This window comes from Homo sapiens, chromosome 2 (assembly GCF_000001405.40).
Source record: "Homo sapiens chromosome 2, GRCh38.p14 Primary Assembly".
In the NCBI taxonomy this organism is placed as follows: Eukaryota; Metazoa; Chordata; class Mammalia; order Primates; family Hominidae; genus Homo; species Homo sapiens.
The window spans coordinates 30803796-30821747 of NC_000002.12; the positions used below are offsets into that span (position 1 = coordinate 30803796).

At 43.5% G+C, this 17952-nt stretch overlaps 1 protein-coding gene and 1 long non-coding RNA gene across 10 annotated transcripts in view; both read right to left on the bottom strand.

Moving 5' to 3' along the window:
- Nucleotides 1-3651, bottom strand: part of CAPN13 (calpain 13) — an 84676-nt gene extending 81025 nt beyond the window's left edge. For 8 of the 9 annotated variants that reach the window (XR_939741.4, XR_939742.3, NM_144575.3 and 5 more), the window contains exon 1: nt 3507-3651. The gene's annotated coding sequence lies outside the window, so the exon portion shown is untranslated. Of the gene's footprint in view, nt 1-2385; nt 2472-3506 lie in introns of all 9 variants that reach the window. The other variant, XM_011533160.3, reaches the window with a different exon arrangement.
- Nucleotides 3652-5400: 1749 nt separating this feature from the next.
- LOC124905982 (uncharacterized) overlaps nt 5401-17952 on the bottom strand; it is a 69911-nt gene continuing 57359 nt past the window's right edge. Inside the window, exon 4 of the long non-coding RNA XR_007086268.1 lies at nt 5401-5731. This is a non-coding gene — a long non-coding RNA (uncharacterized LOC124905982). The remainder of the gene's footprint in view (nt 5732-17952) is intronic.

The window sequence follows — 17952 nt, forward strand, 5'->3', positions numbered from 1 at the left end:
TAGATGAGGTGACCTTTAGCTGCCTTTCAACATGAGTATCATGGATTACAAGAGGCTGGGAGACTCCTTGGGGATTGCCTTGTTCACCTCTCTATTATTGAGACAAGGAAACAGGCTTAAGGCTTGGCTGAGCTTTCCTGGTTGTTTCCCGGGAGAATGAGCTCTGCAGATTGGTAAAAGCTTCTCATGCACCCCCACAGCCTTCCCTTATACTGCAGAGTTTTTTATTCAACAGGGTTTGTGCAAAGCAAAAAGTAGTGCATAGTGGAGGAGAGTGCCCTGAGAATTCAGGAATCAAGACAAAAGAGACTGAGCCCATGAACACAGGTCCAACTGGAGTTCAGTATGGGAGGCTCTGGTGCACTCAGTTCAACTGGTTCCTTTGTTTTGGCTTTCTCAGAGCCTGTTCTGTTTGTTTGTTTTGAGACAGAGTCTCACTCTGTCAGCAAGGCTGGAGTGCAGTGGCGCAACCTCGGCTCACTGCAACCTCCACCTCCCTGCTTCATGCAATTCCCCTGCCTCAGCCTCCCAAGTAGCTGGGATTACAGGTGCATGCTACCATGCCTGTCTAATTTTTTTGTATTTTTAGTAGAGACAGAGTTTCACCATGTTGGCCAGACTGGCCTCGAACTCCTGACCTCAGGCAATCCGCCCACCTCGGCCTCCCAAAGTGCTGGGATTACAGGCGTGAACAGAGCCTTTTTAAGTAAATTGGAATCATAACTCTCTGAGGAGGGAAGAGTAGGAGGCAACATTCATCCAAATATTTGATCATAAATGCTTTATATCAAGGAGCCCCCAGCAACAGCCCCCAAAATTAGTGTTCTATGTATACCATGCTTTAGGAAACACTTGACCAAAAGATAGAGTCCCAAGGGTGGTAGAAAATCAACACCTCCTCTTGATTCTGCTCCCATCTTTTGCATGGCCGTGGACTTCCTTGCTGTCTATCAGTGGCATGCTCCACCATGGACGTTCTGAGAGAGTTAGGATGCCCTCAACCTGACTTCTTCCAAACCTTGAGGAGAGATGGAATGGACCAGCCTATCCAAAGTCCCCTTTATGGTTTTCTCATGGGAGAAAGAGGTGACATCTAGGCAGGAACATTAGTGCTGTACGCAGTGTTCAGCAGATATTAATGATAATTCAGTCTTTATTAAACCTTTCTTAGGTGCCATCTCAGGTTCTCTTAGCCTCAACCTGTCTCTAGGACTCTTGGTCCCTTTTTTACTCCAGCCAAGGAAGTGGCTCTTCTGACCACTTCTGGACTCAGATGAGGTGCCAAGCCTCTAGCAATTAGATCTAGTTTTCCCAGTGGCTGCCACAGGGGTCAGAAGACACAAGCTGGAAGTGCAGGACAGTTAACTCCCCATAGGGCAAGCTTTGAACAATAAGAGAGGAGACAGAGTGAGCCAACATATAAATGTCCTCTCTACCCTTGCTCGGATAGACTCTTCCAAGGCACAATGCATCTGCAACGCCAGTCCAGAGGGGCCCTGCTTTGGCCAAGTGGCTGGTCATGTCTCTTTGTGAAGAGAGGCCAGGTGGTGGCACATCATCCCTCACTGCTTCCCCTTTTTCTCTTCCCATTTCCCACTTCCCTGACTCTCACTCCCCTGGTGTCTTACCTTAAGTGCTAAGTAGCACTTAAGCTTTGCCTCAGGCTTTGTTTTATAGAGAACCCAGGCTAAAATAATGTCAACAATAATGACTAAAATATCTTCAGCACTTGCCATGTGCTCAAGTACTGCTAAGTGCTTTCCATATAGGATCTCATTTGATCCTTTCACTGATCTTTTGGGGTAGATTACTGTTGCTACCATGTCTTAGTGATGAGGAAACTGGGACCCCCAAGAGGTTAAGGAGCATGCCCCAAATCACACAGCTCACCATATGGAAGCATCAAGCACAATGCTTGATACGGAGTGAGCCTCAGGGCCAGTAGGTTGGTCTTTTTTTTTTGAGACAGGGTCTTGCTCTGTCACTCAGGCTGGAGTGCAGTGGCATGATCATAGCTCACTGAAGCCTCAACCTCCTGGGCTCAAGCAATCCTTTCACCTCAACCATGGACCCCTCCCCCTGCCTCCAATAGCTGGGACTACAGGTGTGCACCACCACATGTAGCTAATATTTTTTCCCAGACCCCCAATTTTTAATTTATTTTTGTAGAGACAGGGTTTCACCATGTTGCCCAGGCTGGTCTTGAACTCCTGGGATCAAGCAATCTGTCCACCTCGGCCTCCCAAAGTGTTGAGATTACAGGTGTGAGCCACAGTGCTTGGCTTAATGTGTGCATTTCTTCATAGCATCTTTTCTTCTAAGGTGTTCTTTCAAGAGGGTAACTGAATACAACCAAATAACTAGGGGACAAGACAGGGTACCTACCAGGCACAGCAGAACTCCAGCTCTGTCATTTGCATCTGGTATAAACTTTTGCAGCAAGTCACTCACCGGTCCCTCACTTTTTCCATCTACAAAATGGGATAATGAACTCATGCTATATATAGCTTTTGCCTATTACACAGTTGGTAGATTATTACATTTCCATCAACCAATCTACTAATAAGTAAGCCTCCCTACAGCTGTCACTCCTCCAACCTTCAAAATAACAACAACAACAACAACAACAACAAAAACCCACAATACTTATGTCAAGGTGGGTACAAAGGTGAGACAATTCAAGAGGATAATCTGATTGAAAGTCTAGTTAATGCCACTCGGGGGTAACCAAAGTTGTGTTTGTGACCCAGGACAAATGGGACAGTCAGTAGTTCATGACCCAACTGTAACTATAGAGGGAAAATATCTGCACTTATTCTAATCTGGTTAACTTGGGTCCAAGCTGAGCAGCTGGAACTGTCTCCCTGAGAACAGCATCACATCTCAAAGATTACATAACTTTAGCAGTTACAGAGACACATGTGTGTGACCATGACACCACTAGAGGCATATAGGAACCTCCTGAATCTCTGAAGTTGTAATGATCTGTCTTTTGTGATTAACCCAGAGTTGTCAACTTCATTCCTATAACTAATAAGCTAGATGATTAGAAAACAAAGGGCCCAGGTCCCATTCTTCCCTTTAGCAAATGTTTATTAAGCACCTACTATCTAACAGAAACTACACATCAGTGCACAAAGAAGACATGATTTCTGCCATCAATGTGTCCCTTACGGTGAACACAGCCCTCAAGGTCACAACTTAGAATGATCAGAAATCGAAGGTGACAGAATGATTAAGAAATACTCTCTTTGCATGAAATATGCAAAGTTTGGATTAGATTCTCTTAGAAAATTAACTCCCACTTTGCCCTAGTTTTTCTTAAAGCATATCCTTGGACCACCTGCATCAAAAAAACCCAGCTTCCAGAGCTACTGAATATGTACCTTGGGAGGTGGGAACTCAGAAGCGACATCATGAAGCTCTCTAGAAAATTGTACATGCTCACTAATGTTTAGAGGACTGCCTTGGTCCACAGCTCTGGGACATGACCACGCACAACTTACCTGTTTCCTAGGCAGGTGTGTCTGATGGAGGAGGGGAGACGGGCAGGTTCCACAGGCTCTCAGGTTAGAGAGTGGTGGAGGAGACTGGCAGAGGAGGAGAGCATGGCCGGCCGTCTTGGAGAAAGAGCAGTGCTGGTGTCTGCTTACTCCTGACCTCAGGCTTTTCCTTATATGGGTGTACCAGGTAAAGGCAGGCTCCACCTTCGTTAAACAGTGACTTCAGCATTGGGCAGTGGCCTGCCACCTCTTGGAGAGAGAGAGGACATTGAATGTAAACAGCAACAGCTTCCAGATTCTCCGCCCCAAGCCTATCTCTGCCTTATCCCACCTCACTTCCTGGGGCCCCTAAGCTGCCCGTTTCTTGGCTCTTGCAGTTTTCATTGTTTCCAGATATTTAAGTTTCTTTATCTTTATTCTGCTTCAGGGAATTTGTGTTTTGTTTTGGTTTGTTTTACAAAACCCCTCTGCTGAGAAAAGACTGAGGGAAGCAACCTTCCTTCAGGCCTCATTCTCATACAGGAAAGTACAATTGCCATGTCTCCTGCATCAAGAGTGGCCACTCCACGTCAATCATATCACATCTCTTTCTACTAGACGCAGTATCTTCTTTCTACAAATACATTGTAGAACACATTAACTCCTGGGCATGGCGAGACCCAGGGAAGGTCTCTGCATCATCCCTGCTTGCTGGATGGGGCAGAAAGAGATGAGGCGTGTAAAGTGCATGTTTCCTGTTCTCAAATCCAAGGGGCTATTTGCTTTTCTGGCATCTTTAATTCCTTGATGTTCTTCATCCCCATTCATAAGTGCTCTTTAGAAGCCAGTTCCAGAACCCTGATCGCATGGCACACCCTATGCTATAGGCAATAATGATAAAATAGGTAAAACAGGGAAACAATGTGGAAATCACCAAAAACTGTTATGACTGGTCCATTCCCAAATTCTGATGAGTAGAAAGGGATATTTGGCACATGAATGAAGAATCTGAGAAGCTGGAAAGTATGGATATGAGTTTTAACCCCAGTTTTGCAACTTTTGGCTGTGTGACCTGGGCAAGTCCCTTCCCATCTTAGTCTATTAATCCGTGAGCTGAGGATTATGATGCTTACCCTGTCTGCCTTGTGTTTGTTTAGTGGGATTCCTGCATCCCAGCGGACACCTTCTATTAGAAATTTCACTATAAATACAGTAAACAATACACACACACACACTATTGCATAAACATCATCAGTGAATAAATACGCAGATATCTGTGGTGCATGTTCAAAATGATTTTACTAATAGAGCATGCAATGAAAAATGTTGGAAAGCCATAGTTTCAGAAAAAAATGGTGAGAAAATGCTTCAGAAAGCCCTACCCACAAGGATATATCACAAGACAGTGTCTCAAGAAAATTAATTGGGAGTTTTCTTGCTTATTGATGATGGTTTTGTCATCTCCCATCTCTAAAAATATATTTTTCCCCCTAAGAGTGGGAGCTGTTATCCCCAGAGCAGTCTTTGGGAGTACTGAGTTAAAAAGGGAAACAGCTCCCGATGGAGTGTTCTAGGTGCCAAGAAACAAGCCGCTCTGGGTGATAATTGTGCCGGAAGAATGGCTTAGGTGAGGGACCCTGTCAAGAACACCTGTGCACAAATCCCAGGGGCTGTTTTCTTTTCTGGCATCTTTGATTCTTTGGTGTTCTTCCTCCCATTTATAGGTGCTCTTTAGAAGCCAATTCTCAGTGATTTGTTTTTTCCAGAGAATTCCAGCCGAAGGCTATAAACTGGGCAACACCTAACAGTAAGTTCTTAGCTGGACTTGCTCCAACTCTGAAGGCCGTGTGGCATGCCCCTTAAATGCTTCCAATGCCTTTCTGGCATTCCCTGCTGAGCACTGCATAGCTGCCCTGAGATGCAGTCCTTTGCGGCATGCATGGGACCCACCACAGCCCTCCTCTCCCTCTGAGTCTCGATCTCCTTCACTGTATGTGATGGCTTCTGTGTCACGGAGCCCCACTGGGGCCTCCCCTGCCACTACCTGTGTCTACCAAATACACTGATCCTGCTATGGCTGTCCAAGCCTGGCCTGTGAGGGCTGTTCTTCGAGTGCCAACTGTGGGTGTAGGAAATGCCGTCATTGCCATTGTGCTGTGGCCATACCTGCACTTCCTCTGCCACGCCATGACTGCCCCTGATGTGACTGGCTCCTGCACTCATGCCGCTGACATTTAGTGCTCAGTGTCCTAAAGAAATGCAAAGAAATAGCTCTTTTTTTGCAATCACTTCGAGCCAGAAGAAAACTGGAGCCAGACTAGGCTCAGGGTCCCCGTCCTCCCCTTATGAACCTAGGCTACAGTCCTTGAACCAATCTTGCCCACAGGGAGACCACCTTCTCTGAGAGAGACTTCTTTCTCCAGAGACTCCTTACTCAATCATGTCAACACACTCCTGAGTGCTCCCACTCACCAACCTGTAGCCATGCCTCAGAATACCCAGATCTTGAGAGACATAACTCTTCCTCTCTCCTTCCTTCCCCTTCTCCTTTCTGTCTTCTTCCCCCAACCCCACTGTTCTGTCTCCCTCTCTGCCTCTCCAACATTCTCTTACAAACTGTTTCTCATGCCATGTTGCCAGGCACTGCACCAGGCTCAGGGAACACAGCAGCAGGTCCAGCGGACACACAAGCCCAGTGGACTTAGAATCTAGTGAGAGACACACATGAAACCAATAACCACAAAAGCAGCCAGATTATTTCTCTTGCAATTAGTGCTATGAAGGGGATTTGCAGGTTCTAGGAGACACCCAAACAGGAAAAAGTAGGCAGTGCCTCCACTGAGGAGTCATGAGACGCCCTCCTGGGGAGTGAAGGATGTGGGGAGCCAGCCAGGAGGAGAGGGTCGAGGAGGAGGCTGTGGTGAGACTGGTAAGAATGTGCAAATCCTGTGTACAGCTTGATAAATGTTCACAAAGGAAACCCAAGTTACCGGCATCCAGATTAAGAAACACCATTACCAGAACCCAGAAGCTCCTTTGCACCCTTTCTCATAATGTCCTTTGGTTTACCCTCAAGGTAAACTGTCCTGAGTCAGTTAATTTTGAAAAGCCTTATCCTCTTTTCCTTTATAAGAAAACAAACCCTGTGTTGACTTAGGGAATTAAATCAAATGACCCTGTAAAATATCACAAAGGGGACTGTTTTGGCAGGGGAAACAGGTATACAGAGTGTTTACCACATGGTTAAATGGATCATTTAGCAGATTTCATGTACATTTCATGTATTTGTACATTCCCCTGTGGGTGGAAATAGCAAAGTCAACAAAGTGCAGTGATTTTTATTAATGCCGAAAAGTATGAAGTGCCTGGAGGTCACCCAGCTTGAGTTTGCTGTGCCATGGCTGCCAGCTAGGCAGATTACAAACTACCAAGTCAAGCCCAGGCCTATTACACCCCGGTTCCTTCTTGTGCCCTGGGGGACAGAACCCCAGCAAAAGCCAGAGTTTCCATTCTTATGCATAGATGAGAACACAGAGTGTGTGTGCGTGGTGGGGCAGCAGGAGGCGTGGAGGCAAGAGGAACATAAGGAAGCCAGAGATGGTTTAAAAATGAGTGATGTTCCTTATTATAAAATACTCATCACAGGCTGGGTGCAGTAGCTCACGCCTGTAATCCCAGCAGTTTGAGAGGCTAAAGCGAGTGGATCACTTGAAGTCAGGTGTTCAAGACCAGCCTGGGCAACATGGTGAAACCCCGTCTCTACTAAAAATACAAAAATTAGCCAGGTGTGGTGGTGCATGCCTGTAATCCCAGCTACTCAGGAGGCTGGGGCAGGAGACTAGCTTGAATCTGGGAGGCAGAGGCTGCAGTGAGCTGAGATCACACCACTATACTCCAGCCTGGGTGACAGAGCAAGATTGTCTCAAAAAATAAAATACAATAAACAAAATACTCATCACAGAAACTTTTGAAAAATTATTTAAAAGTTAAAAAATAACCATAATCTTATACTCAGAGATAATGATTATTTTTCGTCTTCCTTTTTCTAGACACAGCCACACATAATGCAGACATTTCAGTCACTGGCGCCTACAAGTGCTTGCAAGAGATGTCGACTCAGTGCTCACGTTCTGAATGCACTGGCTTGGAGCCCTTTCCCAGCTGATGCAACGTCTCCCCCTGGGAATCTCTGGGAAGCCCCGAGAGTGTCTGCTGGTTGTCCACCGAACATCTTCTGCATTCCATTAGGCATTGTGGTCTCTGGGGGACACTATACCTTCTCTAAGGGAGCTCTGTCCTCCCTAGGGTTATGAACTCTTGATTGACCTCTCTCTATTGTCTCTAGCCCTAGTTCTTCCACTCCCAAATAGCTTCTCAGTGTCCCTCTCCCATGCAAATCACTTGAGCAAATATATGCCCCCAAAGCAAGTGTTTAGAATACCAAGTCTCAGCTGGGAGTGGTGAGGGATGCCTATTATCCCAGCTCCTTGGGTGGCTAAGGCAGGAGGATCACTTAAACCCACAAGTTTGAGACCAGCCTGGGCAACATAGCAAGACCCTGTCTCAATAAAAATAAAGATTAAGAATTAAAGAAAATAAATAAATTCAACCATAACTTAAAACAAAGAATATCAAGTCCTTAATCTAAACTTATTCTCAATAGGATCACCCTATTTCTCTCTTGTTCCTTCTCTCTCTCCCACATACATCCTTTCCTTTCCCCCCAATCACAAGATTGAGCTTAAACTATATATTGTTTTGCAGCCTACTTTTCTTCATTTTAAATTAGATCATGAACATTATGTCATTATATCCTCTGTAAAACTATGATTCTTAATGACTGTATACTATTCCAATGCTTGAATGTAATATTAACCAATACATAATAGAATAGAATAAATAGAATATTAGCCAATCCTGTGGTTTTGGACATTTAGATTATTTCTTACCTTTGACCATTACAAATCCTGGCATACAAATTGTTCCAAATGCTTCCAGTGAATTTCTTATGATAAATTCCGAAAAGCGAAATGAATAGTTCAAGAGCTATGAGCACTATAAAGGATTTTGATTCCTATTACTAAATATTCTTCCGAAAGACTGCTCCAGCGTATAGCCCAGCCAGCAGCATATGTGGTCTTTTTTCCCATCTTTAGAGTATTTTTACATTATAAAATGGTGTCACTTCCCTAGGGTGGGAAGATGGGGCACTGGCGGATAGAGAATGAACTCCAAAACCTCGGTGAAGGCTGTGAGTTCTCATGCCATGTAGCTATCATTTCTTCTTCTCCCCTATGCCATGTGCCCATGCTCTAGCCACCAGAGTACTTGATAATCCTGAGACATACTATACACTTCCATGTTTCTATGACTTCAAATGTGATACTTTTATATCTATAATTTCTTATCACCTCTCCTCTGCCCAATCAAACCCTAACTCATCTTTCAAATCCCAATTCAAATATTATTGCTAATCTTTCTACTTACCAGGAGCAAATATGTTAGGTAAATATTAGCAATTGCCACTATAACTATAACTTCTTTCTGGAGTACTACTCCTCATAACCCTACAAGAGAGGCATCATTGTTCCCATTTTATACACAAGGACTGTGACACTGAAAGGTTAAATAACTTGCCCATAATCACTCAGATTTGAACCCAGTCCAACCTGGCTCCAAAGCTTGGGTTCCTATCCACTACGGAGATTTCCCTAATCTTACAGCTACCCTCACCTCTCCATACTATACTATACTATTCTCTCACTTAGGCTATGGTATACTTGATCATTTCCCAACTGGTTCATGAGACCCTTACAGGAAACCAATCATGTACCCTCTCTATTTCCAACTCCTATCAGATATGCGGCACCTAGTAGGTGCTCAATAAATTTGTGTGGAATTTAGGCAGTTGGTAAACCAAGTGAATTACTCGAGTGTTGAAGCAGGAGACCATTAATTTCTCTTGGGCTATAATAATTATTTGACCTAGGTGAATGAACTACAGTTAGAGGGAGTCCTCAGACTAGAATCTGGAACTGGCAGGGAAGGCCCAAGAGGAAAGCACTGGAGGGAGGGGGCATCAGTCATTTGACCTCTAGAAGGATGATTCTTGTGGACACACAGGGCCTCTGGGAAACACAGGTCTTGCCATGCTCCTAGATTCAGAGCAATAGGTGATAAATATAATATTATCTTTAAGAGAAGCATTATAAACACTCAAGCTTTCAATCAAACTGTCCTGGTCCCACCACTTCCTTATTGTGGAATTTTGGACACATTACTTAACTCCAAGTCTGTTTCCTCAGCCCCCAAAATGTTGATGATAATAGAATCTAACTCATTGGGCATTGTGAGAATGAAAGAAGCAAAGGCAGATAAAATGTTGAATACTGAGCCTGGTACGTAGTAAGTGTGCCGTAGATGATGGCTATTCTTTAGTAAAATTTGACTGAGTATCTGGCTGGTGGAGATTTAGGAGAACCAAGTTAGGGGGAGGCTGGGACTTCTAAGCTCGAAACCAAGGACATTTCTGGGAAGGATGAAGGAGAGAACCAAGGCCAGGGAGGTAAGACCTGACACTGACCAGGAGAAAATCCAGAGCGGGAGAAATAACTCATTTTTATTTGCTCCTTAAATGTTCTGTTTCAAAAACAAGTAAGTCTGTGTGCTGTAAGCATTGTCTGAAGACACAAAAAGAGACTGGCAAAATAGGATCATCTCTGGTGTTGCCACAGGTTGTTGCACAGAAGAAATTAGCTCCGCTACTGGTGTGGAAACCTTAGCAATGGGCGGACTGAAAGGAAATGAACCCCTCTTCCTTCCTTCTCATGTGGTGGCTATGGTGGAGGGGGCCTTGAGGAACCCAAGTCCTGTCCTTGCTGGAGAAGCGGGAAGCCTTGCATCGGGCAGGGTTGAGTGGGTGCTGGCTCTGCCCCTTTCTGCATCTTGGTGCCTCTCAGGGCAGGCTTCTTTGGTGGGCACCAGATCCATGAAAGTATAGTGTAAGGGTGGTCACTGTCACCGCAGCCCAAGGAAGACGCATGGACCAGAACCAGAACCAGATTCTGTCTTGAGACTAGAAACACGAAGGTAGGTAGGAAAGGGCAGCATATGAATTGTTCTCGCCATACCCTTCTTTGATTGCATCTCCTGATAAACAAATTCTCAGAAATTTGAGGCAAGAGGGCTTAGGTCAACCAATGCATGTGGGTGGGGTAAGGAAGCTGGAATAAGCTACCTGCTGTCATTCTCTAGCTAACTCAAAGACCTTATGAAAAACCCTTCCTTCTTCCTGAAAGATAATAAATCAGTGAGATGGGGTGGCATGGGGACAGGTACAGATCAGAATGTTCAGAGTTGGTGCAGAACGGCTTGCAGACAGAGGAGGGGCATTTGGTAAACAGGTGGGGACATATTTCACTTACTTAGAAAAGCCAAAGTGCCCTATGTAGGGGTGAGTGGACCTTCTGGAAGAAAAAGCAGGCACAAAGGATTGGCACAAAGGATTGGCAAGCAGGTTCTAGCAGAGGCTGGTGGCCATGCCAACCCCAATCCATGGGGACTATAGTATGACAGCCTCATTTTGGAGTCAGTCACCTGAGAAAAGGCTTTCCATCCCCATGGGAGAGACCTCCAGGTACCCTCTAACGAAATGACCTTGGAGATATAACTAGAATAACCAATGCAGAGAAGTGCTTAAAGGAGCTGATGGAGCTGCAAGCCAAAGCTCGAGAACTACATGAAGAATGCAGAAGCCTCAGGAGCCGAAGCGATCAACTGGAAGAAAGGGTATCAGTGATGGAAGATGAAATGAATGAAATGAAGCGAGAAGGGAAGTTTAGAGAAAAAAGAATAAAAAGAAACGAACAAAGTCTCCAAGAAATATGGGACTATGTGAAAAGACCAAATCTACGTCGGATTGGTGTACCTGAAAGTGACAGGGAGAATGGAACCAAGTTGGAAAACACTCTGCAGGATATTATCCAGGAGAACTTCCCCAATATAGCAAGGCAGGCCAACATTCAGATTCAGAAAATACAGAGAACACCACAAAGATACTTCTCGAGAAGAGCAACTCCAAGACACATAATTGTCAGATTCACCAAAGTTGAAATGAAGGAAAAAATGTTAAGGGCAGCCAGAGAGAAAGGTCGGGTTACCCACAAAGGGAAGCCCATCAGACTAACAGCGGATCGATCAGCAGAAACTCTACAAGCCAGAAGAGAGTGGGGGCCAATATTCAACATTCTTAAAGAAAAGAATTTTCAACCCAGAATTTCATATCCAGCCAAACTAAGCTTCAAAAGTGAAGGAGAAATAAAATACTTTACAGACAAGCAAATGCTGAGAGATTTTGTCACCACCAGGCCTGCCTTACAAGAGCTCCTGAAGGAAGCACTAAACATGGAAAGGAACAACCGGTACCAGCCACTGCAAAAACATGCCAAATTGTAAAGACCATCAAGGCTAGGAAGAAACTGCATCAACTAACGAGCAAAATAACTAGCTAACATCATAATGACAAGATCAAATGCACACATAACGATGTTAACTTTAAATGTAAATGGACTAAATGCTCCAATTAAAAGACACAGACTGGCAAATTGGATAAGGAATCAAGACCCATCAGTGTGCTGTATTCAGGAAACCCATCTCACATGCAGAGACACACATAGGCTCAAAATAAAGGGATGGAGGAAGATCTACCAAGCAAATGGAAAAGAAAAAAAGGCAGGGGTTGCAATCCTAGTCTCTGATAAAACAGACTTTAAACCAACAAAGATCAAAAGAGACAAAGAAGGCCATTACATAATGGTAAAGGGATCAATTCAACAAGAAGAGCTAACTATTCTAAATATACATGCACCCAACACAGGAGCACCCAGATTCATAAAGCAAGTCCTTAGAGACCTACAAAGAGACTTAGACTCCCACACAATAATAATGGGAGACTTTAACACCCCACTGTCAACATTAGACAGATCAACGAGACAGAAAGTTAACAAGGATATCCAGGAATTGAACTCAGCTCTGCACCAAGCAGACCTAATAGACATCTACAGAACTCTCCACCCCAAATCAACAGAATATACATTCTTTTCAGCACCACACCACACCTATTCCAAAATTGACCGCATACTTGGAAGTAAAGCACTCCTCAGCAGATGTAAAAGAACAGAAATTATAACAAACTGTCTCTCAGACCACAGTGCAACAAACTAGAACTCAGGATTAAGAAACTCACTCAAAACTGCTCAACTACATGGAAACTGAACAACCTGCTCCTGAATGATTACTGGGTACATAACAAAATGAAGGCAGAAATAAAGATGTTCTTTGAAACCAATGAGAACAAAGACACAACATACCAGAATATCTGGGACACATTCAAAACAGTGTGTAGAGGGAAATTTACAGCACTAAATGCCCACAAGAGAAAGCAGGAAAGATCTAAAAGTGACATCCTAACATCACAGTTAAAAGAACTGGAGAAGCAAGAGCAAACACATTCAAAAGCTACCAGAAGGCAAGAAATAACTAAGATCAGAGCAGAACTAAAGGAGATAGAGACACAAAAAAACCTTCAAAAAATCAGTGAATCCAGGAGCTGGTTTTTTGAAAACATCAACAAAATTGATAGACTGCTACCAAGACTAATAAGAAAAGAGAGAAGAATCAAATAGATGCAATAAAAAATGATAAAGGGGATATCACCACCAATCCCACAGAAATACAAACTACCATCAGAGAATACTATAAACACCTCTATGCAAATAAACTAGAAAATCTAGAAGAAATGGATAAATTCCCGGATGCATACACCCTCCAAAGGCTAAACCAGGAAGAAGTCTAATCCCTGAATACACCAATAACAGGCTCTGAAATTGAGGCAATAATTAATAGCCTACCAACCAAAAAAAGTCCAGGACCAGATGGATTCACAGCCGAATTCTACCAGATGTACAAAGAGGAGCTGCTACCATTCCTTCTGAAACTATTCCAATCAATAGAAAAAGAGGGAATTCTCCCTAACTCATTTTATGAGGCCAGCATCATCCTGATACCAAAACCTGGCAGAGACACAACAAAAAAAGAGAATTGTAGACCAATATCCCTGATGAACATTGATGCAAAAATCCTCAATAAAATACTGGCAAACCGAATCCAGCAGCACATCAAAAAGCTTATCCACCAGGATCAAGTGGGCTTCATCCCTGGGATGCAAGGCTGGTTCAACATACGCAAATGAATAAAAGTAATCCATCATATGAACAGAACCAAAGACAAAAACCACAGGATTATCTCAATAGATGCAGAAAAGGCCTTTGACAAAATTCAACAGCACTTCATGCTAAAAACTCTCAATAAACTAGGTATTGATGGGACGTATCTCAAAATAATAAGAGCTATTTATGACAAACCCACAGCCAATATCATACTGAATGGGCAAAAAGTGGAAGTATTCCCTTTGAAAACTGGCACAAGACAGGGATGCCCTCTCTCACCACTCCTGTTCAACATAGTGTTGGAAGTTCTGGCCAGGACAATCAGGCAGGAGAAAGAAATAAAGGGTATTCAATTAGGAAAAGAGGAATTCAAATTGTCCCTGTTTGCAGATGACATGATTGTATATCTAGAAAACCCCATTGTCTCAGCCCAAAATCTTAAGCTGATAAGCAACTTCAGCAAAGTCTCAGGATACCAAATCAATGTACAAAAATCACAAGCATTCTTATACACCAATAACAGACAAACAGAGAGCCAAATCAGGAGTGAACTCCCATTCACAATTGCTTCAAAGAGAATAAAGTACCTAGGAATCCAACTTACAAGGGACATGAAGGACCTCTTCAAGGAGAACTACAAACCACTGCTCAATGAAATAAAAGAGGATACAAACAAATGGAAGAACATTCCATGCTCATGGATAGGAAGAATCAATATAGTGAAAATGGCCATACTGCCCAAGGTAATTTATAGATTCAATGCCATCCCCATCAAGCTACCAATGACTTTCTTCACAGAATTGGAAAAAACTACTTTAAAGTTCATATGGAACCAAAAAAGAGCCTGTATCACTAAGTCAATCCTAAGCCAAAAGAACAAAGCCGGAGGCTTCATGCTACCTGACTTCAAACTATACTACAAGGCTACAGTAACCAAAACAGCATGGTACTGGTACCAAAACAGATATATAGATCAATGGAACAGAACAGAGCCCTCAGAAATAATGCCGCATATCTACAACTATCTGATCTTTGACAAACCTGAGAAAAACAAGCAATGGGGAAAGGATTCCCTATTTAATAAATGGTGCTGGGAAAACTGGCTAGCCATATGTAGAAAGCTGAAACTGGATCCCTTCCTTACTCCTTATACAAAAATTAATTCAAGATGGATTAAAGACTTACATGTTAGACCTAAAACCATAAAAACCCTAGAAGAAAACCTAGGCAATACCATTCAGGACATAGGCATGGGCAAGGACTTCATGTCTAAAACACCAAAAGCAATGGCAACAAACGCCGAAATTGACAAATGGGATCTAATTAAACTAAAGAGCTTCTGCACAGCAAAAGAAACCACCATCAGAGTGAACAGGCAACCTACAGAATGGGAAAAAATTTTTGCAACCTACTCATCTGACAAAGGGCTAATATCCAGAATCTACAATGAACTCAAACAAATTTACAAGAAAAAAACAACCCCATCAAAAAGTGGGTGAAGGATATGAAGAGTCACCTCTCAAAAGAAGACATTTATGCAGCCAACAGACACATGAAAAAATGCTCATCATCACTGGCAATCAGAGAAATGCAAATCAAAACCACAATGAGATACCATCTCACACCAGTTAGAATGGCAATCATTAAAAAGTCAGGAAACAACAGGTGCTGGAGAGGATGTGGAGAAATAGGAACACTTTTACACTGTTGGTGGGACTGTAAACTAGTTCAACCATTGTGGAAGTCAGTGTGGCGATTCCTCAGGGATCTAGAACTAGAAATACCATTTGACCCAGCCATCCCATTACTGGGTATATACCCAAAGGACCATAAATCATGCTGCTATAAAGACACATGCACACGTATGTTTATTGCGGCACTATTCACAATAGCAAAGACTTGGAACCAACCGAAATGTCCAACAACGATAGACTGGATTAAGAAAATGTGGCACATATACACCATGGAATACTATGCAGCCATAAAAAATGATGAGTTCATGTCCTTTGTAGGGACATGGATGAAACTGGAAATCAACATTCTCGGCAAACTATCGCAAGGACAAAAAACCAAACACCGCATGTTCTCACTCATAGGTGGGAATTGAACAATGAGAACACATGGACACAGGAAGGGGAACATCACACTCCGGGGACTGTTGTGGGGTGGGGGGGAGCGGGGAGGGATAGCATTAGGAGATATACCTAATGCTAAATGACGAGTTAATGGATGCAGTACACCAACATGGCACATGTATACATAGGTAACAAATCTGCACATTGTGCACATGTACCCTAAAACTTAAAGTAAAATAATAATAAAATAAAATGAAATAAAAAAAAATGACCTTGGAGAACCAGCTTGGACCAGTGCAGCTTTTTCTATAGACTCCTAGGCTCCTCTATCTGTTCCCCGTGGTGATGGGCAAGAAACTGATTTAAAGGATGCCTGTGCTCATTGTGGGGGACAGAAAGAAAGAGATGTCCTGAGGAGACTGTCTCCATTGATAGCCAGTTTTGGGGGTGACAAAAGGAACTCCAACAAGGTAGATAGGTGAATACCCTGAAGAAAAGAGGAAGTCAGGCTGGGACCCCAGAAAGGGAAGAAGGAAGAAGCCATGGGTCTGAGCCAGCAGAGGAACCACTTTGGGGCTCCGTACGGGGTTGCTAACTGCCCACTGACACATTGTCTATGAAATATAATCAAAATAATTTCATTAATATGGATGCCAGCACCATCACAAAGTAATTGAATGAGGAAGTTAAAACTTCCAAGTACCACTGTGTGTGAGAAATACACAAAGATGCCTTGTAAAGGTCAGGCTTCAATCAAGCTCAGTTAGGATTACAAAGAGCCAAGATGAGTGGGCAAAGAAACATTTTGTGCTTCCTCGATAAGACGATGCTACTGCAGAGGTCCGTAGAAGTCTATTAATATCAATTTTTATCATTTTTAGAGTCATACTTACATTTTGAGGGGACGATCATTAGACAATGGGCCACGCATGAGGATAAGGACTGTGGGCTCAGTGCAAGCACTGCCTCTGAACCGAACAATGAAGCTTTATTCACTTCTTGTTTGGCTCATTATGTTAACTTTTTATTATGCAAAACTGCCAATTCAATTGCACAATGAGAAAAAATATATTTGGAACAATTCACAAGCGATGTTTACCATACCTGCTAAAAGGAAAAAACTCACCAGAAAGAATTTACTGAAGAGGATTCTCGTGATCTTCCCAGATCCTCATTGACAGCTAATTTGTCCATCCAGGAATTTTCAGTGACCTCTACTTGAGTGCTTTGGAAAACAGGAGCAGCGAGGGCTCCTTGGCTACACAGGAAGCAAAGCTTTCATATAAGTGATGTGGCACATCTGAGAAAGGCCCTGGCGGGGAGCACTAAGCAGTTTCAAACTTCCATGCATAAGGTTCACTTGGGGAGTTTGTTAAACAGTGCAGATTCCCGGGCCTCTCCCTAGAAATTCTGATTTAGTAAATTTGGGTTGGGCCCAGAGAATCCACAGGTTTAAGCTTCCCGGGGATCCTGTCTTGAGGCTCCTTGGGCTTGCCCTGGTTGTGGCTGGCTCACTATTTAGAAAGGGCAACCCTCTCTTCATATGCTGCCAGGGGGTCATCTGGCCTTCAAACGCTCAGGAGCTAGGGCTCCCTTCTGTGAGCACGGACTCTGGGGCCCAGGCTGTGAGCCTCAGTGTTAAGTCAGGACCTGCGTAACAGAGGGAATAGATTCTAGGGAAGGTATTAGCTTTCTCTGCCTGCCCATCCCCGTTAGCCACGCAATCCTCAGGCCTGGCTCCACAGCGGAATCACCTGGAAAGAGGTTTTTTTTTGTTTTGTTTTGTTTTTTTATACTTTAAGTTTTAGGGTACATGTGCACAATGTGCAGGTTTGTTACATGTATACATGTGCCATGTTGGTGTGCTGCACCCATTAACTCATCATTTAGCATTAGGTATATCTCCTAATTCTATCCCTCCCCCCTCCCCCCACCCCACAACAGTCCCCGGTGTGTGATGTTCCCCTTCCTGTGTCCATGTGTTCTCATTCTGGGACCTACCCCAGATCAAACCAGAATCTTGGTGAAGCCAGGGTGCTCCTGGCAATAATATGTTTCAGAGATGTTCAGGTGAATCTAACGTGCAGTCAGGATTGAGAACCCCTGGTTTAGTCTATTTCTTACCTCCTGGGTCCCTTCTTTCCTGTCCCTCATGGGTGGGGACACCTC